Source organism: Homo sapiens, chromosome 18 (assembly GCF_000001405.40).
Source record: "Homo sapiens chromosome 18, GRCh38.p14 Primary Assembly".
NCBI lineage: Eukaryota > Metazoa > Chordata > Mammalia > Primates > Hominidae > Homo > Homo sapiens.
Window position 1 is genome coordinate 44,762,948 of NC_000018.10, and position 26,191 is coordinate 44,789,138.

At 42.2% G+C, this 26,191-nt stretch overlaps 1 protein-coding gene across 19 annotated transcripts in view, besides 1 other annotated feature; it reads left to right on the plus strand.

The window, feature by feature from the left end:
- The window catches only part of SETBP1 (SET binding protein 1), a 388,438-nt gene that overhangs the window by 82,875 nt on the left and 279,372 nt on the right, over window positions 1-26,191 (plus strand). For 4 of the 19 annotated variants that reach the window (XM_047437479.1, XM_047437480.1, XM_047437481.1 and 1 more), the window contains exon 3: window positions 1-26,191. This exon is cut by the window's left edge; it is cut by the window's right edge. The exons of the other annotated variants lie outside the window; for them this stretch is intronic. The gene's annotated coding sequence lies outside the window, so the exon portion shown is untranslated. 19 annotated transcript variants of the gene reach the window in all.
- Window positions 17,763-17,965: a silencer, noted in NCBI's record as "fragment chr18:42360675-42360877 (GRCh37/hg19 assembly coordinates)". NCBI's record gives its function as "represses an EF-1alpha promoter that drives an FKBP-Casp9 reporter gene in an ReSE screen in HepG2 liver carcinoma cells {active_cell/tissue: HepG2}" and the evidence as "EXISTENCE:reporter gene assay evidence [ECO:0000049][PMID:32094911]".

Consider the following 26,191-nt stretch of genomic DNA (forward strand, 5'->3'; position numbering starts at 1 on the left):
AATAAAGACTTGGTAAAGATTTAGTGCCTGTCATCCAAAAGATATCATTAGCAGGAGGCAAACACTAATATGTATATAATAAGTGCTATATGAGCAGCACAAAGACAAGACAGAAATTATTCTAGACTTTGAAGAGACCTCATTTACAGAAGTCTTCACTGATGAATTTAACTGGGCCTAAAAATTAAATAGAGATAGGGAGGGAAGCATGCCAGTCCATAAGTAAAACATCATTCCAGGTGTTGAGGGAACAATGAGTAACTACAGAGGCTGGAGTAAATAGTTGAAGTTATGAAATAGTAGGTCATAGAAGACGTTAAATGCAAGGTCATGGAAGTCAAACTTTGATGGGCAGAGGGGATATGTTAATGGTACAAACCAATGTGGCATAGAATCGAAGGAAATAATTCAAATTCGTGTCCCGGTGTCTTCACCTCTACAATAAGAAAAGGTAAACTGATCACTCCCTCTAGGCTTCCTGGCATGTGGTGAGAAACAGAGAGGCAATTGACATCAAGGTGTTTGCGTGTCTGGTGAAAGGAAGCACCACCAGCCACAGCATGGAGCTGCGTTGTTTGCAGTTGATGTTTACTGTATTGACTCTCTAAACTCCCACTGTGAACATTTTGGAAACTCAAGAGAGATAGTAAATGGCAATGGTCATTTAAAGCTATGAAACGCTTTCTCCGGTACTCTTCTAATTATGCTGAAAGCCAAAATTTAAATAATCTTTGGAGAGATATCCCTACGCTTCTGATAACATTAATTACTGACTGACCTCACAGTCTCATTTGACATATTAATCCTTTCCTCCTTTTTAAAATATGTTTCCCTTGGCTTCTGGGACACCGCTCTTTATTCTCTCCATAGCTCACTGGTTGTTCCTTTTCTGAATCCTTTGCTGGTCCCTCTTTATCTCCCTGACCTCTAAACATTGGAGTGCCTCAGGGCTCAGTTCTCCACCCTCTTCTCTTCTCTGTCCTTTCTCATGGCATTAAATATCATTTACACACATAGAACACCAAATGTTTATCTATACCCTGGACCTAACAGCTGGACTCCAAACTAATATCCGTTGTGTTTTCCACATAGTAGCTAGAGTAATCATTTAAACCATCAGTCAAATTAGGATGCTCCTGTGCTCCAAACCCTCCCATGGCTCCCCATTTCATTTTGTGCAAAAGTGAACTCTTGGCAATGGCCTGCGGAGTCCTGCATGACCTGGTCCGTTAGCTGTTGGCCTTGTTTCACTGTGTTCCACCTTACTGAATACTCTAAACCAAAATCTGTCTCAAGCACTTGGCTTTTGCCATTTCTTCTGCCTGTAAGATTCTCCCCCAGACACCTGCAGTACTTGCCCCTGATTCCTCTGCTTATGTATCCATTCGTTATCCATGATGTTTCTCCTGACTATCCTGTAAAAACTCACAGATCTCTCCCCTTCTAACTACCTCTGTTGTTGTTGTTGTTGGCTGTCCTCCTTCTTCTTCTTCTTCCTTCTTTCTTCTTCTTTCTTCGTTCTTCTTCTTTCTTCTTCTTCTTCTTGGCAGAGCCTTGCTCTGTCACCCAGGCTGGAGTGCAGTGGTGCGATCTCGGCTCATTGCAAGCTCCGCCTCCTGGGTTCAAGCAATTCTCCTGCCTCAGCCTCCTGATTAGCTGGGACTTACAGGCACCTGCCACCATGCCTGGCTAATTTTTTGTATTTTTAGTAGAGACGGGGTTTCACCATGTTAGTGAGGATGGCCTCGCTCCCTGACCTTGTGATCTGACTGCCTTGGCCTCCCAAAGTGCTGGGATTACAGGTGTGAGCCACCGCGCCCGGCCATCTCTGTTCTTAACCTGCCTTATTTTTAGCATTTATCTGTAAATGCATACTACATATTTTACTTGCTTATTTGTTTATTACCTGCCATGCTGTGCTAGAGTGGAAGCTTTTTGAGGGCAGGGACTTTGCTCTGCTCACATTGTGTCCTTGTGCCTAGAACATAGTGCCTGGCACAGAGTGCATGTTCAACAAATATTTGTAAAATGATTTGTGAAGTAATCCCCTCTAAAAATAGAACTCAGAAGAGACAGTCAGGGTTAGGATCTAGCCCAGGATGAACTTTGTTAAAGGCCACAGCAAAGGAAAGCCCTTAAGTTGGAAGCCTTGGGTTGAGACCAGGTTTTGCCGCAAACAAGCTCCGTGTTACGAAATTCACCTAGAGCTCACAAACCACACTTTCCTTGTGTGTTGAATGGGTGCTGATATCTTGCCTATAAGATAGAAGTGAAGATCAATTGAGTAGGTAGATGTACCTTTCCCTCTGTAGGAAAAAAAAAAAGCAGATTTGGTTCCTCTTCTTTCCTTGCAGAAGGAAAGAAGTTTTCCCATTGGTTTTGTTTCTCTCTCTTTGGAACAAGATAGCGACACGAGGGTTTTGTTGTTATTGTTGTTTCCAGCTTTAAGCAGGCATTTTGTGGGTGGATATGAAGGCATTTGGTTTTATTTTGGTGATGGTTTCTAATTTTATCTTCTCTTGTTTATGTAGGTTTTTTGTTTTGTTTTAATGTGATAAATGGCCAGCAACTTCTCTGAGCCCTGTGGAAATGGTATCCAGGCTACGGAATAATTATTTAGTGAATGGCGGATCCAGTTTATGTTGGCACAGATCAAATTAATCATTATTAATCATGCCCCAATGACAGTAACCTCATCCCTTGCAGAAGTGCTATTCTTTATTAAGCAGTAATAGCTGTGAGGAATGACTGAGCTCTACTCCGGTTACACTCTACTATGCCTTTCCCTATTTCTCAGCAGGAGAGGGAGAGCAACACACATCCAGAGTGAAAGTAAAAGGAAGAATTAAAAACAAACAAGCACCCATGAAGCATCTCCCTCTTCCTACTACCTATGACAAGAACTCAAGTTCCAGCATAAGAAAAGAAAAGGGGCTTTGCAGTATGCTGCCCCTCAAAAGGAACAGAGTAAATGATTATAATAGTAATTAGAGTTATACTTAAGGAAGTGGTGTTTATTAGCCAGCCTGTAGTAGGACTAAATCCACAGGCTTCCTCACCTAGTTCCTCTGCCAGTGCTTGGATCTTGAGAGTTGCAATCTCTAAGCTTTTTAAACTCACTTCTATCTGAAAGGTACTTCCCATTCTGGGGTGTGTGTGTGTGGAATTGCTTCCAAGAACAAGATAAGCTCTTTGCCTAGGGAAAGTTGGTAAAGGAGGCTTACTGTTCAGTTTCAGTCCACATTGAAATACAGGACATATGGAAAATAGAGCATGATACATGGTCCGGCAGTGGACAACGGGTCATGGGGCTTGGCTTCAGTTCTGGTTGTGTGACCTTAGGAAAGCTCTTAACTTCTTGTAGTCTTGATTTTTCAGGTCTGTAAATTGGAATGATGATATGGAACATTATTTAGCCTTAAAAAGGAAGGAAATTTGAATGCATGCTACAACATGGATGAGACTTGAGGACATTATATGAAGTGAAATGAGAACAAAAGAACAAACACTGTACAATTCCATCTATACAAGTATCTAGAGTAGTCACATTTATAGAGACAGAATAGAATAGTGGTTTCAGGGGGTGGGTGATAGAAGGGAAGGAGGGGTTCTTCTTTTAACGTATATAGACTTCCAGTTTTGCACAATGAAAAGAGTTCTGTGGATGGATGGTGGTGATGGTTGCGTAACAATGTGAATGTACTTAATACTACTGATTATACACTTAAAAGTGGTTGAAAATGAGCCATGGGTGGTAGTGGGTGCCTGTAGTAACAGCTACTTATGAGGCTGAGGCAGGAGGATTAGTTGAGCTCAAAGTTCAAGGCCTGCCAAGGCAACATAGCAAGACCCTGTCTCTGAAAAAAAAAGTGATTAAGATGATAAATTTTATCTTATGTGTATTTTATGCAATTTCAAAAATGTAAAATGAAATGGTAATAATCTCTAAAAACTTATATCTTTGAGTATGGATCTATTATAGTCCCTCAGAGTGCTGGGGAATAAAGTGATGAGATCACTGGAGGGCAATCTGTAAGACCCCATGAAGGTCTGTCCCATGGAAGGGGGAGAATTTCCTTTCATTGTGGTTTCACAGAGCAAATTTAGAAACAATAGGTAGGAGTGACAGGAAGAAAAACTTTGTATCAACTTAAGAAAATTTGTATTTGCAAATAAAAATTTAAAAAGGCTGTCCAAGAGGAATGAGCTCCCACAGGAAGTAGTCATCTCCCTCTCCTGGGGATGTCCAAGCACAGATGATGCGCTCATCTGCATGGCCATTGTCCTCCTTCCCAAGGTTCTACAGTCCTTTATTCCTTTCCCTTCTTACTAGTGTGAGTGTTTTCTTTCATTCCCCAAAATAATGGCATCCATTACTACAAAGAAAAACACAATCCTGCAGCTATTAAGGACTCCACAGGTTATGTGGGAGTAAATTGAGTTATCTGGGCACAGACCAACTTATTAGAAAACTATTCTCAGAGGAGTCACCACCTGTGACTTGGGTCTTGAACTTAAAAGTTTCTAGTTCAGCAAAGGAAAGGATGTCAGCAAATTCAACTCACCAAATTGGTATTCAGCTTAGGAACTCCTTACCTCCTTAAGATGGTTATATGAAATACTTGTAAAAAAAGATTAAACAGGTTAGTAAATTGCATTAAATGTGATATGCGTTATTAGCTTCATGTTTGTGATTAGGGTCAACATAGGCCACCACCATCCCATCTGCAGCATTATAATCCTGGGGGAGATGTATGCTGTTTGATATCATGTGAAAATTATGTTATTCTTATGTCTTTAAATGTTTGACATCATCACTTATTTACAGCGTAGATATTAAGTGGGAATAAAACGAAATAGACGTTTCATAGAGTCTTTCTCAAACAAGCCTTTGATATACTCGTTTTCTCAGCACCCAATCTTCTGCCTCAAAGTTAGGAAGCTGATAAAGGATAGTCCATTTTGAAACAGTGTCCTGAGAACTATTGGTAGGATGAACATTGGAAGCCCATAGCATCCTGTGACTGCCTCTATCACATTACTTGTTCTAATGGTTAGAAAATTCTGATGACTTTTCTTTCCCGTAATAGACTGAGCTCCTTGGAATCAAGATTCATGCGTCTTTCACTTTGGTGTCTCTGTATAGGAGCACAGTAGGGGCACCTGTTGTTAGTAATGTAAGATCTTGTAGAGTCTGGGCTGGTGGTCTTTAAGGTGTGATTTGGGAGGTTTTGATGCTTCAAAGTCCAATGTTGATTGCCAAGAGATTGTTAAGTGAGAGGAATCTGTTCTTCTGACCCCACTCTAACCATACAAGCTCTGCTTTTCATTTATGTTACATATTGGGATCTCCAGTGAAGTTTTCTCTAAAAATATTTTGAAAGACACATACACAGATACTTAAAACCTTATTAAATGCTTTCATGGTGTATGTGTGTGTATGTGTGTGTGTGTGGTATGTGTCTGGTATGTATGTCGTGTGTGGCAGAGCTTAGGATAAGGTGTAAATGTTTTCAGATTTCTTTATTCAGTTTAATTCTTCAATTAATGTTTCTCTACTTTTGGAGGAATTGGGTTGGTTACAATACAAGTTGTTCCATTAAGGATCTGTCAAGACTAGCTGAGGTTTTTTTCATATTCACCAAGATTTTTGGTGATTACCGGGTGTTTTGTTCTTTTCCTTCTAAAAGGATTTGAGCTTCCCATTAGTGGATTTATAATGATCATTGCTTAACCATATCAGACAATGAATTACACAAGAAACCTACAATTCCTGAATTGTTGCAAACCTCATAAAGTATATACGGAGATCTGTTTCACTAAAGACTTTGTTATTTTGACAGTTGCCCTTGGTTGCTCAAGAAAACCTCCTGGAAACCCTCATAAGAAGACAAAGACTGCTTGCTCTGCAGTTGTTTTCCGTATACCCACAGTGGGTGATAGAGTGGAATATGGGCAGATAGACTCTTTTGTCTCTGCAACAGCCCTCTGAAAAGAGTTGGACAGTGGGACCTGTTGGGTATAACATACCTGCTTGTGGTTTTTCTTCAGTAACAGAGGTGGGAGGTACACTAAAATGGCAGGGAAGAGAGGAGAAAAAAACAAGATGAAGGGTCAGCTAACTGCTCAGGGCTGAACCAAGGAGGCTGGAGAGGGTGCTGGGGCTTGCTTTTGGTTTGGTGGTTGGTCCAGAAAAGGAACTCTCATCTACAATGAATTCAAGGGTCCCAGCAGTTGGACTTTCCATGGGAATCTGGGTAGAGAATTTCTACTTAACACATGTCCCTTTTTACGTCTTGATGCCATTTTTTATTTCTTTCCATGGTAGCTCAACCTCGGGAAGCTTTGGACTTAGCCTGAAACAAGTCTTTACTCTTTAGTATTGGTTCTAACAAATGCAAGTCCCTTGGGAGCAAAAGGTTCAAAATACAAAAGTCCTGATATTTTTTTCAGACCACAAGAAGTTCCTTTCAGAATGTGCTGTTTATCTCTGCTCTTACTGAATGATGATTTCTTAGGAATGTGTCCATTAAAAGATACCTATTTAGATTGCCTTGGCTTAAGCCAAGTTCTCCAATACATTCTGATTGTCTAAATTCTTTCTTCTTTTCTTCTATGTTAGGTGCATTTCAGGGTCCAGAAGTGAGTATTGAGTGTGTATTTCTGTATCTACTTGTTGAGAATGGAGAGTAGAGAATTCAAAGCTTTATTCTTTCCCATAACTATTCTTATAAGGAAATCAAATACAAACAAAAAAGGAAGTCACATGCACAACCACTATTATGCTATATAGAAGTTCATGAAGTGCCACCTTTCTGTGGCCATGGAGGGAAAAGGCAGAGTCTTGCTGGCATCTTCAGCCACTCACATACATATGCTGCTGTGCTGAGGGTCATCTTTTAGCATCGAGACCGACAGCACCTGTGTACCCATGTGCCATCTAGACCATGTACATGAAGGCACACCAGCTGCTGTGTGGCCTCACAAAGACAATTCCAGAAATCCTCAAATTCTCACTCTCAACTGAACCATCTAAAGAAAGCCCTAGGCTGTCCCTGACTCCTAGTGGATCCTGAAATTCTTTCAAAAGGAAGAGGAAAACGCTGCTTTCCATTTCCTCTTTCCCCTCCTCCCAGCTCTTTTGAGAAATCAAACACAGAATGCAAATTCTACAGGAGAGATAATACTGATTTCTATTCGAACTGAAATATTAATGACTGATAACTGATATGTTAATGAGAAGAGTTTCTGTGGAAGCAATTGAAAAGAGAATAAGGACCCTATGGCTAGCATGTTTGGATGAGAGAGAGCATAGAGCCATAAGTAAAACGTGCTGAGTATTGGCTGGGAGCCTGGAAGAAAACAGCACCTCCTTGGTTTGCCTGAGGCTGATCCTGGGTGAGATGGTGGGTTAATGTCCTTACTTCTGTGGCTCTTGATCAGTTAGACATCAAACATCTTCCAAGTTCACCTCCTTTATTTGGTTTATTTTTAACCTATTTTATCTATTTTCACCTTTGATTTATCCTTTTAGTCTAGAATTTTGGTATTTTTGAAGTGTCCTTGGGATATGCAGTGGATTCGTGTTTTCATCTATTGCACTTGGATGTTTCATGACAAATATCTCACCCTGTTTTTGTTTTTGTTTTTGTTTTCACACTTGCCAGAGCAAAACATTTTTCAGCCTTAATTGTTCAGGAACAGCCCACAAAAGATTTAGCGCCATTCCTTTAAAAGTCTTCAATTGTAGGTGATAACTATACAGATGTCTGGGAGCTCAGTAAACCAAATCTTATCAGAAAGTGTGGGAGGCATTATGCACTAGAATGTAGAGTCAAATATTTCCTGACAGTAGGGTGGGAGCAAGAAAAGTTGGATTCCAGAAGGCATTCTTGGAATCAGAGAATGCCTGAGAACAGAAGGTGGAGGTGTGACTCCAGACCCAGGATTGTCACCGGAAGGCAATATAGAGAACTGTGTGGCCCTTAGAATGAGGGTTCTGGGTCATGTGAGGTTCATCATGGCCATCACAGTGGCCTGCTGCATATTGAGCTGCCCACTCTAGACTATTGATTTCACCTTGCAGGGAGGCCAATACCATGATCTCTGATAGCCTATGTCACTCATTTTCAGCCTGCTGTTGGGGTTGCTGGCTGCATCAGAATTACCTGGGAATTTTTCATAAATACAGATTCCCAGGATCCACTCCAGATCTACTGATGCAGAACTTCTGAGGGTGAAACTTCAGGATCTACTAGGAGTTAGGGACAGTCTAGAGCATTCTTTGGATGGTAGGATTGAGAGTGAGAATTCTGGGACTTCTGCAATTAAGTGTCTTTGTGAGCCCTCACAGAGGCTGGTGTGGTTTCGTCTACCTGGTCTAGATGGTGCATGGGTGCACAGGTGGTGTCAGGTCCCGTTACTGAAAGAGGACCCTCACCAGAGTTTCTGAGGGTGAAACTGTTAGATGAGCAGCTAACATAACAAGCACAATGAGAATAGGCAGAGAGCTCATCCAAAAGACCCTGCAAAGGGGCCAGGCCCAGACCATCCATCCAGTGATTTCTCTTTAACTGCTTTGGGCTCTGCAAAAGGACATTTTTTATGTAAGTCCCTAAGACAGAGTTGGGATCCCCACAGAACTGGACACAGGGTCAGAGACACCCACGGTGAGGAGGACATGTGGATGCCATTCATCTCGGGCCTCCCTTGGGCTCAGAGGGACCACGTTATGCCTGGGAAAGAGCAGAAGGTGGAGGCAGGGTTGTGCCCTGAATTCTCATCAGCATGCAGCCCTTTCCACTCTTATCAAAATCAACGTGGGTATTTCCTGCTCACAGGCCCCTGGAGGTGCAGCAAGAACAGAGGCTGGCTGGGAAGGGAATGGAGGAGAAACTCTGTATTGTAGATTCAATATCAGCTCCATGATTTCCCCCCCAAGGGATAAATATTGTGCTTTGCAGCTTATATGATGGAACAGACTTCCTATGTGTACGATTCCAGGAAGAGAGTTAATAAAACCTCTTGATACCTTGCCTCCCCGGCAGCATTTATTTGTCTAGCAGTGAGGCTGTGTGCTGTTCATACAGTACTGGTGTTAGGTTGACATTTGTTTTGACCTTTAAACTTTATGCTTCCTCTTTCCCCATCCTCTCCCCCGCCCCAGCCTCCCCACCTCCTGTTGTTCCTCAGCATGTGAGTTTGATCTTCTGTGACCTGGGCTTTTCCAAAGGTTGACTCTCCTGGGCTTGGATTGGGTGGGGTGCAGGCTTTTCCTCTTTTCTTTGCTCAAGGGTCATCGTGTGACTGTAAAATTATTGTCTGGCAGCAGTGCGAGCGCCATTTCACATGTGGGGAGTGTGTAGAGTTTTGTTTTTTCTTTAAATAAGAAAAAGGAAAGAAAACACCTCGAGGACCCACATCTGCCTGGAGAGCACAGGGCTAGGCCTCCTGCACTGGCTGGAGAACGCATCCCCTCCTTTGGAGTCCTGCCCTGGCCCAGCAGGGACTGGGAACCGCATCCCTGGGAATGCTGGTGCCCGTCAGGGAGAGGAACATTCTTGGCTCTGAGGCTTCTTCAGATCCTGGGGGTATTTTCATAAGAGCGTAACCCCAGGGCTAAAGGAAAATTCCACTCTTCAGCAGAGTGATGCGTCTGTTCTTGGTCATCCTCCCAAGTAATTATGTGCCGTGCTTAAGCTTTGAGCTTTGCACTTGGACTGAACTGGTTTGAATCCAGCTCCACTAGATACTACCAGATAACCTTACCCAGGTTTCTTAATGTTTCTGCACCTCAGTTTTCTCATCTGTTTAATGGGATTCGTGGGGAACATTCTGAGAATTAAATATAGTAATCAATATAGAAATTCCTGGAATAATCCCTGGCAGAGTGTAGACCCTCAAAACATGTTAGATCTTAACATGATTCCTCCTTAAGCGTCTTCTACCTGAAAGAATCTTTTATTCTATTCATATTTTCATAATTCAGTTGGATTTTTGGAGGTATGAACTGTGCCTTTTTGTATAGAAATATCTAGCAAAGGTAATTTGGTCTTTAAATTCCTTTTACTTTCTTGGTATTCATTGAAGACCAAAGACGCTTTGTTCATGTGGATCCTTGAATGGATTGTTGCTGCTTACCTTATCTTCCTCTCCCACCTACTCCTATTGAATAAGGGTTCATAATTATCCATCTAAAATCTACAGTAATTAAAAAAATAAATGTATAGACAGTCCATAGAGGAAGCATAGCATATACACTAAGGTGCCCTAGATCTCTGCACTATCTATTAGTGGGCATGCACAGTTTTTCTCTCCTGATGTATCATGTGCTGTGAGTGATCTTCCTGGAACTGAGGGATGGCCATGGAGGGAGTGCTCTGTAGCTTTGAAACCTACCAGTGGGCCTTAGTTACAGACATGGCCCCAAAGGAATCATAGCAAGCTTGGCTCACAGACAAGCACAAGGAAAGCAGGTAAAGAGGAACCCCAGGAGACACTGCAGAGCTGACTCCAGAGAACTGTGGGGTCTGCTGGGCACCTCCCTCCCCTCTTCTTCACAACAGAGCATTGAAGTTATGTTTTTAACACATTTTTGCAACGTCAATAGAAACAAACTGTCTTCTTGCTCCTAGAATATAGAGAAGTGGTAGTGGGATATTAGAGTTCCACTCTTTAAGTGTGTATTCCCAACTGATGGAAAATAACACCCAAACCAAAACAAACAAACAAGTAAACAAAAACCCAGTCCAACCACTGGGGGCCTGCAGAATATCTCAGGCTAGCCGAAGAGAATGTGATAAAAGTAGGTTCATACCTTAGGTTCCAAGTATTAATCTCAACCAGCCTCTCTCTCTCTCTCTCTCTCTCTCTCTCTGTCTCTCTCTGTTTATGTGTGTGTGTGTGTGTGTGTGTGTGTGTGTGTCTTTCTTCCCCCTCTCTGACTGTATGTCCTCTTTTGGCATGGCATGGTGAGGTAAAAGGCATAGCTCCTAGGTGACATGTTAACATACTTCTAGTTTCCTACCACAACCACTTATAGGTGCCTGGGGACAACATGGCCATTCAATCAGATTGAAAACAAAAGTTTGAGCCAGTGGTAGATTATAGTTATTGAGGACAATGTGAGAAAGAGGAAGGGAGGCCCAAGATTTATACACCAATTCCTCCTAGAAATTTGTTTGGTTTACTATGAGCTGACCCTGTGACTTTGAAGATTTTAATCTTAAAATTAGGACAGGTTTTACTGCCTCTTTTGATGTACGCATGGATCCTGGCACAGTCAGGAGAGTCTCAGTCAGAGTGAGGGGCGAAGCCATAGAAAATTGTTCCATCTGAGGAACTTTATTGAAACATACATTTCTGACCTTGATCCTTGGAAGTACCCTTCAGGAGAGAGTATATGTGTTTGAGTGTGTATGTGTGTGTGGGTGTGTGTGTGTGTGGGTGTGAGTGTGGGGGTGTGTGGGTGTAGGAGGCTTAGATATATGCATCTTATAAAATAAATGCAAAGACATGCTGATGACCCATCTTGGATCTTTATCCCTCCTAGCATGAGCATCCTCTGATGGATCACTGCTATAGGTGGTGATCACAAGTAGGACGTGTAGAGGAGACTGGCAAGAGTTGTCATGTAGAATGTGACCTGGCAGTAGATGATTTGTGGATAGGGTGCGAGCACATGGGATTATGAAAACTCAGAGTTGGAGGTCACTTGTGAGTAATCTAATCTAACTCTTCTACAGACACTCTGGAAAATATTCTTCAACCTCAGCCCGAAAATAGTTATACAGTCTGGAAGGGTCCTAGCCAGGATTTGAACCTGGGTCACCTGATCCCAGAGCATATACTGTCGACCCTCATTGAGACAAATGACTGTACCCTCTCAATTTGAGTGAGTTACAGGTCTCTAGGAGTTTAGCAATAGATTCCTGAGATTCTATGCTTTTACTTGGTGTTTTTTTTTTTTCCTTTTTCTTTTTCCTTAGTCAGAGCACTTCAAATTTGATATAATGCTTTGGAGCTAGGCTAATGGAAAGGTTCCTAGAGGTAAATTTAGAATTTTTTTTTAACTTTCTTGAAAATGCTGATGAAAACTATGAAAATGCTGATACCTTCAAATCAATGCACCTTGCATTGCTACTAAAGGTCTCACCAGAAATCAAAACCTTTAGCCTGTGTCCTGGATCCTTTTTTCTTTAAATTGCTATTGGGGGTATAGTTTCATGGCTCATTGATTCAAAATATTTTTTGGTCAGTTACTTTATAGAGGCTCTGGGCAAGGTCCTACACTGACAAAGTTGAATAAGATGTTCTCCTTGTCCTCAAGGTGTTCACCATCTTCTGGGAGAGACAGTTAACTCAGTCAACATGGATATTTCTATGTGATACCTGCAGTTAGCAGGATGTAGAAGATGCTACAGTAACATAGCCTGGGAAGGCAGGAAGGTTTCCAGGGAAGTAACATAAGGTTTATGAAGTCTAGAATCTTTTCTCTTTCTCACTGAGTTCCTGTAAGAATTCAGTACTTCAGTTCTGGCTACTTTTTTTTCTTTTTCTTTTTCCCTACCATCACTTCCTCCATAGTGTTGTTTTCAAGAAATGAATAAAATATAATTTTGTCTCCTTACTTTCTAATTTGTTTTTTTTCTATAGTTTTTTGTTTTACCTCTTAATTCCTTCACTCAATTCAGGTGATTAGGATGGAGCGTACTTTTCATGTTTAGGTCAGTTTAGGAATTTCCAAGTGTAGAGAGCACCATTTTTTTTTTTTTTTCGTTGTCCAACACTAAAAAACAGTGAGTCATAGAGACTGGATTTAGAATAACGAGATTAAAGACTACCTGAGCTGGAAGAGACCTTAAGGGCCGTCTCACTCATTGCCTGCATAGATCATAGATACATGATGGATTTGTGGTCCAGAGAAGCAGATCCCTGCTCAAGCCACTTTCTTTGCACTTTGATCTCTACATAAACTGTCCAAATGGGATCATGTTTTCTTTTCTGAATGGCCCTATCCTGTCTCTATCCCTTAATTGCCCTTCAATGTTCAATGGACAGAGCCGTTTTAACGTAGTTGTAATTGACTTGTATTTCTCTCTCATCTCCTATGAAGTCCGGAGGTGTGGCTATCTGTGTGTAGCTGCCCTGGCAGGTGAGAGGGAGGGTATTATGAAAAGGTACCCATCATGAAGGTACTGTGGACAGGCAGTTGAGGCCTGAATGTCAAGCAAGAAGCACTTTTCTTTAGGATACTTTCTCCCCTGGTATTTTCTTCCCCCCACCTTCTTCCAGGGCTCCACCGCGCACCCAACCCCTAGGGCTCATATTTTACTGTTCCTGATTGACATCAGGCTATAGAGCCCTCTTTTCGCTCCATAGCACAGCCCATATGGATGCCGATTTAAACCCAGGCTAGATTGTTTTTTTTCTAAAAGGCCAAAGAAAATATGATTTCAAAACCAGACAGAATCTCCTCTCATTTCATTTAGTGACACCGTGAGGTGGAACTGTCTGGATAAGACTCCATCTAGCAAGTTAAAAACTCCCCAAAAGCACAGGGACAGGAAATTTCATGGTAAATATTTAAGCTCCTGGGCTCCAGGGCAATTGGAAAGTGTGTGTTAAGAAGCTTTCCTCTTTCCCTCTAATTCCCTGTATTCATCACTTGAGCTGTGCCATTTGGGCTTATCCTTTATGCCTAAAGAAGTCTTGCCTTTTAATCTTTTAGCCACAAAAAAATAGTAAAGAAATATAAAACACCTTAAATAATAATGCCCCAGGGAGATAATATCCTAGGAAATTTAGGGCTTAGGTGTTCCTATGGAGCACACATGTGTTCACAGATGCCCATCTCTGATGCTGATCAGTTAATAGAGGTTAATACTTCGTGTAGGATCAGCAGGGCTTGAGGTCTTGTCCTGGGCATTCTGCTCCTACTTTGTCGCTGGGTGACTCAGTTTCCACACTGGGAGAATAGGGAGAAGAGTTTTCCCTTAGGCTACCTCCCAGGAGGTGGAGAGGATTAACTCAGATGAGGAAGGCAGAGATGCTTTAGAGGCCAAAATGTGGGCAATAAAATAAGGTAGGCCAGGTGTGGTGGCTCATGCCTGTAATCCCAGCATTTTGGGAGGCCAAGACAGGAGGATCCCTTGAAGCCAGAAGGTTGAGACCAACCTGCACAACATAGTGAGACCCCCGTGTCTACAAAAAATTAAAAAATTAGCTGGACATGGTGGTGTACACCTGTGGTCCCAGCTACTCGGGAGGCTGAGGCAGGAGGATCCCTTGAACCCAGGAATTTGAATCCAGCCTGGTCAACATAGCATAACTCCATCTCAAAAAAATAAAAGTTAAATTACTTGGCCACTATCTCACCATTCTAAGTGGCAGAACTGGGTTATACACTCAACTCAGTCTTTCTCTGAAACTCAGAGTCAACCCCTAGCACTTAGTAATCTCTCCATCAGCATTAACTGTTAGATTGTGGCTGTCATTTTGAATGTCACAGTTATGCATGCTCCTGTGTGGACCTGACTGGTTCCTGGCCCGGCACCATTCCGCGTATGTCCTGGGGCTGCCATCCCCTCATCTGGTGGATAGAGTTGCACCTGTATATCTCTGGCTGTTCTGCTCACCCCTTCAGAGCAGACATCACCACCCTTTCCCCAGGCTTCTATGCAGGCAAACTGAGGACACAGGAGGTTCCTGGACACCCGTCAAGGAGGAAAGCAGGGATGCATGTTGCTCTGGGCTCCGTATCAGTTCATATTTGGCACTGCCTCTGTAGTCTGATAAAAACAGGCCAAAAGAGGAAATCCAAATTCAAAATCTGACTTTCACACAACTTCTGACAAGCTGAAATAGGCCCATTTTGGGGCCAATGATAAAAGTCTGATTTCTCAAGCACTTTATTTGTCTATTGGATCAGAATGGCACTGATTAGTACTTTCTGTGCAAAAGCAGAGACGGGGAGCCGCCTTCCCATTTCTGAACCCGACTGTTCTATTTACAATCTCTAAGCAAATTTCTGGAATTTCACTGACAGATTCCCTGGGGCATGAAAATCAAGCTTCTTGTGTGTGTGGATGGGCTGTGGGATGGGCTGGCGTGTTCTCTAAAGCGTCTTTATCTGCCTGGGCCCCCTCCCTCTCTTCTCCCTGAAAGAGCCAGTGCCAAGACTTGAGTTGTTTCATTTGGCTCAAGTCTGGAGGCATTGATACTGAGCTGGCCTTGTATGAAACCCACTTGCTGGTCCTGTTCGTCTGAGAGTCAAAAACGTAAGATCCTCTGGAGTAGAGAACAGTCCCTCCTTCCCATCCCCCTCTTATTCTCAGCCTAGGGGGGCCTATTCTCAAAAACCTGGAGCTAGAGGGGGGTCACCTAATCACTCACCATTTTTTCTCTGAGTTTTATTCGGGGTATTTTGTAAACTTGGACTTAGGGTTAAGAAGTTCATCAAAAGCTTTATCAGTGAGGCTTTGATGTCACTTGCATAACATTTTCCTAAAGAACTGTCAAGTACCAAATCCTACATATTGTTGATTTTTATCATCTGATTTTCTTGATCTCATTATGGTTTTTACTAAGAACACAAACAAACAAAAAGCCTCTGTTCTACCTTTTCTGGGGTCAAAATGTAATTTTCTTAAGTTGGCCAATTCAGTGGTAAGGCACTATAGTTTTCCACTAAGTGACTCTTTTCTAGTACTCTTCAAAGATTCTACTTAGTGTTTGGCCCCTTCCTTTTTTGCATCTGTTCCTGTCTCTTTCAGCCTAGCTCAGAGGAGGAGTGAGGAGCCTGCGGAAGGCTTCCATGGAGTGGAGAATTATGGAACTTGTCATTGTAACCCAAGGGCTGGGGCAGACCAGGGATCTCTCCCCTGAAGCCCCTGCAGGAAACTGCCTGCCAAGGTCTATTTACTCAGCCCCAGAGCATTTAATCCTGCGCAGTGTGGGGTGGTGTCACTGGGTCAGAGCCTTCGAGCTGCGAGCTGAGCAGCCGGGTGGAAGGAGAAGGATAAATGGCTGGTTAAACCCTGAGGTGTTGGGTGGTCACTGAGCAATGGTTGGAGCAGCCTCTGGCCACCGCCGTGTGTTGATTTTGTAGTGAGATCATTACCTTTCCTGGGTTGTTAAATGCAGTTTAATCTTCCTTAAGACAGGACTGGACAATGTTGCTTTTGTGACTTCAGAGAGTCACTAGACAGGTTAGAGGAGGCTGGGTTTCCAGATATCCACCGGGAGAAAATCACAGCCTTGTCAGAGAGGCAGGGTATGTGTGATGCTTCTGTTTTCTTCTCATATACACTGCATCATCATCTTCAGAGCCTTGCACTTGGTGCGGGTATTGGAAGGCTGAGGACCATGCATTGAGCCTTCACAAAATTGCTTAGAGCAAGAGAATACTCGCCTCTGATAGAGCATAGTACTCTCTCCAAACCAGGAGTAGAGGTTTTAGGAGTGCAAGAAACACATGTCATGCAGTACAGATGTCAACATATATAAACTGCTTCAGCATGTATGAGGTTCCTTTTGTGGCTAGGGTGAGTCTTGCAGTTTCTTTTTCTTTTATAACAATAATGGCCTGTCCGTGGTTACACTGGGGACAAACAGTTGGCAGGAGAGGATGAGGAAGAGAGAAAGGGAGAGCGAGAGGGAAAAAGAGAGGAGAGGGAGAGAGAAAGGTGGCTTACCTAGGCTGCCTCTGGCTAACTGTCGAAGACTTTGTGCAAAGGGAGGCCTTGAGAAAACTCTGACACGCTTGGAGTCTATGTGTGAGCTGATCCACCCTCTGTAAGGGGAGGCTCCTTAATTGTCTTCCTTTTCTAGCTTCTTACCCCTCTGCTCTGCTGCATCAACCTCAGAAGTCACATTTCCCTCCTGCCTGCTGCCTTCTGTTCCTCTGCGGTTGTGTTTTCTTCCCTTGTCTTAATAGTCTAATAAAGTTTAAATTGCAGCCCCGAACACACACACACACACACGCACGCACACACACACGCACGCACACACGCATGCACACACACACGCATGTGCACACTCACACACACTCTGCACTTTCCCGCCAACACTTTGGGACTACTTAAGAGAGTTCCCTCCTTGTTTGGGAGTGGGAACTCACAGCTTGCCTGCTCCCAGCACGACCTGTACCCAACTGTGCAGTCATCTGGGTGTTCGGAGACAAAAAACAGACAAGCCCTGCTCCTCCAACTCTTGCAAGGAGGCATGTGTTGTAGGAGACTGTATTGTGCCCCAAATCCCCAAGGTTCCAGAAATCAGCCTCTCTTCCCCTGCCTTTTCCTAATATTTTACAAATGAAGGAAACATACAGCTGGGCTTTGAGGAGCCCTGAGCCCTGACTCCTCTTCCTGATCCTGCCCCTCTGAATAACACACTTCTCATTTTGGAGCTATCATTTCTGTATCTCTTTCATCCCTTGGGTACCTAAGATTTTAATGGACCTTAGCCACTTTTTAGGATAATAAATCGTAAATATTTGTTTCCATTGAAGGGGTCAGCTTTTCCTTACTTTAGGACATGCTCATTTGTTCTTGAGTTCCAAAACTGACAGATCAAGTTCACGCTGGAACTTTTTCATCCAAGTCATGGTTTTGTGGCATTCCCCATTTGAGATGCCCATGGACACACCTTCATATATTCGTTTATCCAGTCAATCAACAAATGTTTTTGGAAAACTGGCTGATTGCCAAGCTCTGTACTAGACCCCAGCCTTACAGGGAACAAAGCCAAAATAATAGTTGCCCTCATAGTTATGGTCTACTGAGGAATAGAGACCTTAACAAGGCAATATAATAAAGCTGTTGAATGTAAGGCAGAGGGACCAGCATACTGTGGCAGCACCCAGAGGGGCTGTCACTTGGTATTGGGGGTCATGGAGCTCCCTAAAGATGTGGTGTCCAAGCTCAGAGCTGAAGAATGATGACGAGTCAGCTAGGTGAACAGGAGTTAGAACAGAGTGATGAGAAATCTGGCTGGCGGGGGAAAGAGTTCCAGAGAAGGGGAACAGCTTATTCAAATGACCCTAAGGCAAGGGTAAATCCAGTGCTTTGGGGAAACTGACAAGGACCAATATGTCAGGCCTGGGTCAAGCAAGGCAAGTGGGCAGGCTGCTGGGCTGGCGAGGCAGGTAGGAACAGGGTACAGGGTATGAAGGAGTGCATGTTAGGTAGGGGTCTTCCCAACCCTCTGAGGAACTCTGGAATTTTTCCCATGAACAATGGAAAATCATTGAAGAATTTAAGCGAGGGAATGAAATGACCTTAGTTGCTTCTTGAGATGATTGTTCTGGCTCCTGTGCAGAGAATGGATTATAGAGCATTGAGGGTGGCTATGCAAGGATATGCCCACTTAACTAAAATTCTTAGAGACAGGGAAGATTTCACACATGGTATTCTGATTGGCATAACTCCCACCATGATATTTTTTAATGTAACCTCTTATCACCAAAGCAACAGAATAGAGCTGTTGTGCTTCTTTGCACCGCTCTCTCTCTCTCTCTCTCTCTCTGTCTCTGTCTCTCTCTCTCTCTCCCTCTCCCCCCCACCCCCACCTCTGTCTCTCTCTATATCTCAGGGAGAGGTCCACATCATTTTCATTTATGTATCCCTATTGCCTAACACAGTTCCAGGCATAAAAAATGCCTAATCAATGTTTGAGGAATGAATGAATGAAGAAATGTGTAATCCCTCATAGATTCCCCTCTTGAAAGAATTTTTCCATTAAAGTTTCCCAGATTTTGAACCCATGTGTTAGAGAGGATGGTACCACAATGCAAAAAACTGAACTAGGAACCTGGGTTCTCTTCCCATGTCTGCCCTTGAGAAGCTGAGCAAATGGAGCCAAGCTGCAGTTTCTTGATACCCTGTTACTTGAAGTGTAAAATGAAGAAGTCAGGCCAGAGAAAGCCTGTTAATCACTGGTTTTTGTGATTCTATGACTTAAGGGACTGTAATACTGTTTAAATCAAACACAACTCTCACTATTTGCAACCCTTAACGTTTTGAGTTTGTTATAAAATGTCCTTTGCTAGAAGGATGTCAGAAAACCAAGCCTACTTATCTTGGGTATTGCATTATTCCCTTCTGGTCTGGGGATTAGGGAAAATGAAGTAGCTGTTAGGAATGCAGAACGACCTCAACCAGAACATCAGAAGCCACTTAAGAGGCACACTGCTTCCAGCAGGACATGGGTAGAAAGAAGGGATTCCACTATAAAGAGAGATTTGTAGATATGTTTTCTTCTTTCTCCACGTTAAGGAGAGAGAAAGGGAATGAAAGGAAAAACAAGATCTGAACTTTCACACCCTGATAAGGATTTCCTGGTATTTACAACATGTAAAATAAACTCTTTTTTTTTTTTCCAAAAAGAAATGTATTTTTTGCTACGTAGCCAACATGACTGGTTTTGGGGAAAAATATAGACTTTTGATTCTAATATGTAGATTAGAAAGAACAAAAGAGCTCACAACTTTCTTCTTAAAGTATTTATTTACCTCATAGAGGAAGGAAAGAAAAGCCAGGAGGAAAGATGAAGAAAGCCCTGTCAAGAGTGCTCCAGCAAGGAAAGTTTCCTGGCTGTATGGAAATCATCTAGGTGGGGTGTGTTGTTTTTCCCCCTGTTGGGACTCCAGAGGGGGGCTTCTCTCTTAAAAAACCTGGGATGGTTCCAATGGAGAGAACTAGATAATCTTTCAGGCTAAACTCAGTCAACCCACAGGGATTGATAGAAGCCCATTGTCTGCTTTTCCAGGAATCCTGGGGGTTGCAAATATGTCTAGGTCAGTCTGGAACTTCCCCCAGCTTGTATTCGCGGTGGGCATACACCACTAACTGGTCAGGGAATAGAAACGGGCAGAGGAAGACAGCATGCCAGGGTGATCTTGTCCTTGTGATAATTATATCTTACCACTGGGAAGCCCTAATAGTATTTATATCCATGACCCCATTTTCTTAAAAATTAATTTTTGGGGGTACGTAGTAGGTGTGTATATTTATCATCACTAGATCCTCACTGGAAGAGGCTTAGTAAACGTCAAGGATCACTGAACTGAAGTCTGAATATCTAGATTTCTGGGAATTTGGACTAGGCACATAACCCCAAAAGGTTTATTTTCTCCCATATAAATTTGCCTTTCTTATCCCTGTTCTCACTTTTCCCAAAGTTACTAAAGGGATCAAATAAAATAATGGATTTGAAATTGCTCCATGAACTCAAGGATATCAACATTTATGAGATATTTTGCATGTTTTGGGGGACAGATAAGAAGTGCCCTGCACATTTTGGGATTGAAAACATACTGTGGTAGTGGAATGGTTAGAGACTTGCTCAAAGTGCCACAGCTTGTTTTTAGCAGAATCTTTCTCATGGATCTTTATCCAGGAGGTATTTCCATTATAATCTGGGGTTGCTTCTTCCACTGCAGGAAATCAGAAGAAAAGGAAGGAAATCAATGAGAAGTATATTCATGAGGCAGATTTCATAAATCATCAAGTGTCCGTGGAGCTCCTTAGATGCAATTTCTTTAACTCACAAAATAGAAAGATACCCCAAGCCTTATCCAAGGTAATGGTAATTGTGCAACATGGTAGAATGCTGGCAGTAGTGCAGAGTCAATGACCTAAACAGAGCCTATGCACAAAAACAAATGACAAGGGTAATGATATTTGTTTTGTGCTTTACAGTTTCCACAGACTTTTGTGTATATCAGCATATTTGATTCTTTCAGCAATCCTATAATATAGGGATGGAAGGTGTTTTTATTATCCTTAAATTTTAAATGCAGAACATGAGGCCTGGAGAGTTAACTTGACTTGTCCAAGATTGAAAAACCTGTAAGAGGTGAGTCTAGAGTCAGGCCTGGATGTTGAGACTTCAAATTCTTATCTCCATGGTGCTAATGGCACTAATTCTTTATATTAAGCCTTGGGCAAATGGTTCATTATGCCTATATTGCAAATTTCTTGTAGTGAAATAAGTCATCTCAAGAAAAGAAGTGGGAAGCCTTGCTTCCAAGCAGTTAATGTAGAAGGCCACCCTTGCCTGATAGGCTGGGTCCTGGAAGGTCACTGACAGGGACTTGGGTAAGTCAGTGCCTTTGTCTTCCGATCTGGAAGATGAAGGGGTTAGACAATTCTCTCTTGCACTAAAAATTATGTTTTGAGATATATGGATGAAAGATATTCTAATTGTGGACTTTCCTAAAGATACAATGCAGAAAATAGGAGTTCTTTCATGTAAAATAAGCAGGTTCTATTAATTCATTTTACTTTGTGGACTGCTTTACATTACTTTTAAGGATGTCCCCATCTTTTTTCATTCATTCTTATAACATTCTTTAGCAAGGTTGGACAAAGGATTTTTTTTCTTTTTTTACTTCCTCTGGCTATTCTTGCCTTTCTGTTCTTTAGACAAGCCTGGCCCAGTGCCTCCCCAAGGGGTCTGCACTTGCTATGATCTGTTCTCTGCCTTCACATGACCTACCCCTTCTTGTCACTTAGGTTTGGATCACATGTCACTTCCTCAGAGGGCCTTTGCAGATTCTTGCAGTTAAGGTCCCCAGGCCATGTCTTTTTCTATCACATTGACCTGTTTTATTTCCTTCATAGGATTTATTGTCATCTGAATTGTGAATATTATTGATTTGTTTACATTATCATGGTCTGTCTTTCCTGCTGGAAGTTAAGCTCCAATAGACTTATTTTTCTTGCTCTACGTTGTATACCAAACACCCAGAACAGTGCTTTGCACATAGTAGGAGGTTAGTGCATGTTGACCGAAATAAACATCTTATGAGAAATTTAACAACTGCTCAAGAGTACGTAGTCAATGAAGGACTGAACTAGGGCCAGAGTTCAGTCTCTCAACTCTTAGTTTATTGTTCCTTTCACTGATATGATGCTGCCAAAATGTATATGTATTTATACATGGGAGTTCCTGATAATTACTGATAAAATCTGGAGTGATTGTGAGACATTTATGTGAAACTGAATGCATTTCTTAAGGGAAATGAGGAACTCCCTGAGGCTCACACCATTCAGCTTGTGACAACAGAATTTATAATCGATGTACTTTGTATATTGGGAATCAATCATCCCATATTTGTTTAATTCATTTTTAAAGGAAGCCAATTTTAGGAGCATTTTCAATATTTTTTATTGATGATACTTGAATTTTAACAAATAAATACACATCATGTACACACAATCAGGAGAGAATATAAACAGTGACAGGTGACAGGCCAGTTAGATTCTTGGTCAAACTGCAGAGATTTTCTCTCTGACAGAGGCTGAAAGGGTTTTATGGGTGAAACTGTTGAGCATGTGAAGTTGCCAGGGGACATGGCTGTTCCCTCTAAGTTCAGCCCCAGAAGTTGCATTGCAGGTGTTTTCTAGATGGCCTACTTTCTCTCAATTACCCATCATGAATCTCTCGGTTATTAGAACTTTTGGAGGGATGAGGTAGTGGATGTCACCTAGATTACCTCTTAATTGTATTGTTTTTCTTTTTTTATTCTTCTGTGAAGCAAATTTGCTTTCATTTGCTCTATGTTTTCTCTTTTGAGCATTAAGGAAGCTTTCTCTGGATACAAATGTCTGAGTGCTGGTGAAGAGGAGTATGTTTATTGATTTTCCAGTCCCTAGACTTGTCAGCCCTCATCTCCCCATTAGAGAACAAGTGTTATTAATCTGTCATTTTAAGACCATTGTTCCATCTCCTTGCTGATTTTACCTTTGGTTCTTCCCCTTCGTTATCTCTTGATTGAGACACAACATGCTCAACAGCACATGGCGTTTCAGGTTAGGGCCAAGGATGATTTTGTAAAAACACTAGCTTCTCTCTTATATGTTGCCACTTTGCGATTTTGCCTATGGGACCTGCTCAGACCTGAAAGGATGGTATCATTGCCTTATAAGTACATTTTATTAACCCCCCCACCATAAATCAAAGCATTATCTTATGCAAGTAAGCTCTAATTTGACTCTTTTATTTTTCTCACTCCATCACCCAAGAGTTTCCTGCTGTTCCCCTCTGTTTTTACATATGACCTTCTCTGTTTCATGGGGTGCTTCTTCCTCTAGTTCATTTCTATCAATCTCAGTATTGATTTTTCAGAAAGGCCATTGATGAAACTAGCAGAGATATGTCCCTTTCTCCCACCTTTTATTGCTGGCCTCTAAGTCAACTTCCTGTCTATGACAGAGAATCTCCTTTTTCCCTTGGAAATGCAATGTTTTAGTTATTTGTGGTTGATACTTTTTCTAAAGTTTTTGAAAGCTACAGCGTTGACATCCTAGATTTTTTCCTGTGTACATGCTTATTGATTTGCATAAAGAAGACACACACACCCCAGGCTTTTTGGTTTAATATTGACAACAGCCCAGATTTAGTCCTAAGCTCTAGCACACACAGAAATGCAAATATGTGATTTGAGAGGTCCTTGATTTTTTCCCCAAGAATTACATCTTTTCTATGCCACCTAATTATGGAACTACTGTGTACTGTTCTATAGTCATAAGCAGAAGTCACTGGCCAAAGAAAAGATGCAGATATGTTATATGGAACTTGGAAGTTGTACTTTTGGATAAATATGCCTTCTTGGTAAAGATCAAGGGTAACAGGGAAGGGAAAGATTCCATGTAGGACTATGGGGAGGGGAGAATGCATTTGAAGCTCTCTCTAAGACATCAGCAGCTCCTTTGGGCAAAGAGAAACTGCCCCGACAGAAAGAAACATTTTTGGGTATTAGTTAAACATTGCCTGAATATTTGGATCTTGCTTTTTTCTCTCCTCCTCCAAGAACAAGTTTTAGTGGCCTGGGTTTAGAGAGCCACACGGGACCTAAGGAGGGAGGGGTTGTATTGACTTTCACTTGATTTACTAAAGCAATTGAGTTTGTCGGGGGAAATGTGATCGTCTCCATCAGCTGTCGTGCTGAGGTTGCTCCTATCAGGCTGTCAGTAGCTTTCAGTTTCTGATCTTTCTCTCAAATTTGCTGTCTATTTGAAGAGGAGACGAAAGATGCTTTGGGTATCAAGAAGGGAGAACATTTTGAGCAGTTACCTGGGAATCCATTTATAGACTTTGATGCCCTGTCAGTTTTATTCGGATGGTGTGTAGTAACATAGAAGGGACAATAGTGCTTTCAAAGGTAATTTAGATTTCTCTCTTTAGGAATAATTTTATTTATGAGGAACTGAGCATGAGTGGAACTAGGATGAGAAAGGGTGCTGGTGTGTAGGCAGGCTTCTTTCCTTGTTTATGGTGATATAGCTTAATTCAATATCATACAGTAGCAGTAATTGAAAGGATATTTCATTTATATAGCATCTGTCAGCCTGAAGTACTTTCAGAGTCTTCACAAACAGGAACTGCTTTCCTTCTCAGAAAAAAATGCTGCTAAGTTGAAGATGGAACTGAGGCAGGCTCCAGGAACCCTAACTAAATACAAAACTGAATGAACTATTGTGGTAAATGGGAGCAGGCGCTCTTCATTTTATGAGATAGATGAATTACTGAAAAAAATACACAGACATGGAGTTTCTTGGGGAAGTCAATTAAAAACAAAATCCCAGTACTGTAGTAGTTGGTCATTTAAAAGAAAATTGTTGGCCGGGCGCGGTGGCTCACGCCTGTAATCCCAGCACTTTGGGAGGCCGAGGCGGGTGGATCATGAGGTCAGGAGATCGAGACCATCCTGGCTAACAAGGTGAAGCCCCGTCTCTACTAAAAATACAAAAAATTAGCCGGGCGCGGTGGCGGGCGCCTGTAGTCCCAGCTACTGGGGAGGCTGAGGCAGGAGAATGGCGTGAACCCGGGAAGCGGAGCTTGCAGTGAGCCGAGATTGCGCCACTGCAGTCCGCAGTCCGGCCTGGGCGACAGAGCGAGAGTCCGTCTCAAAAAAAAAAAAAAAAAAAAGAAAATTGTTCTCTAAGGAAAAAAAGGAAATAAGAAACAAAAGACTTCATGAAACATAAATAAAGACCTTCTGATTTGTTTAGTTTTACTTATTTGGACTTGTATACATTAGTTTATTGGAGTTTTTTTTTTTTCTTCACAATAGGAGCAGAGCTATGCTTTAGAGATCAAAGATAAAATGTGGCACCGGAAGGTAATGTCCCAGATGTTAGGTGGAAAAATTTCTCAAGTGATTGAAAGAAGTTCATCCTCAGAGTGTAGAATCTTAGTTTCCGCTGGCTCCTGGGAAAAGCCATTCCTGATGGTCGTAAGAAATGGTGCCACTTCTCTTGGGCAGATAGGAGGGAAGGCTGCCTCCTTTCTGAACTGCTTCCTGAACTCCTCCAGCAGCAGGAGGCAGGGGTAGAGAGGGAAGGTATATTTTGGGGGGCTTGTCCAATGACTTCAGGAGACAGGATATCACTTCTGATACATTTGCAAATTAATATGTCACCCGACAGCAGCTGGCTTGTTCCCTGTTGAATCTTTTATTTATGCACAACCTCCTAAGCTATGTCTCTGTATTTTATCTTGATGGGGACCCTGTGGAAGGTTCTCATTGTGTTAACTTTAGATGGCTGAGGCCATTAGCAGAGTGAAGAGAACAGGTGCTTGGAAGCCTGGCCTTGCTCATATAATAGTCTGTGCAGGCTCAAGACCTTATCTTTGCAGTATTTCCACTCACTTATGGTGTTGTTTATTCTGTTACAAACACTCCTAAGAAGGGAGCAGAATTGTTTATGGAAAGGCAAGCATGGAGTACTGTTTTAGTACTGTTTTAATTAGTAAAACTATCAGTCATGAAAGTGATCATTTAAATGTAAGAACAACTCCCCACTCAGAGAAACTGATTTTTTTTTTTCCTTTTTAATTTTTTTTTTTTTTTTTTTTTTTTGGAGACAGGATCTCACTCTGTCACCCAGGCTAGAGTGAACTGGCGTGATCATTGCTTACTGCAGCCTCGATCTCCTGGGCTCAGGTGATCCTCCCATCTCAGCCTCATGAGTAGCTTAGCCGGGACTACAGGCGCACACCACTCCTCCTGGCTAATTTTCTGATTTTTTATAGAAACAGGGTTTTAACATGTTGTCCAGGGTGGTCTTGAATCCCTGGGCTCAAGTAATTCACCCGCCTTGACCTCCCAAAGTGTGGGGATTACAAGTGTGAGCCACCGCACCCGGCTTCCTCCTGTTTTAAAACATGATTTAAAGTGTCTTAT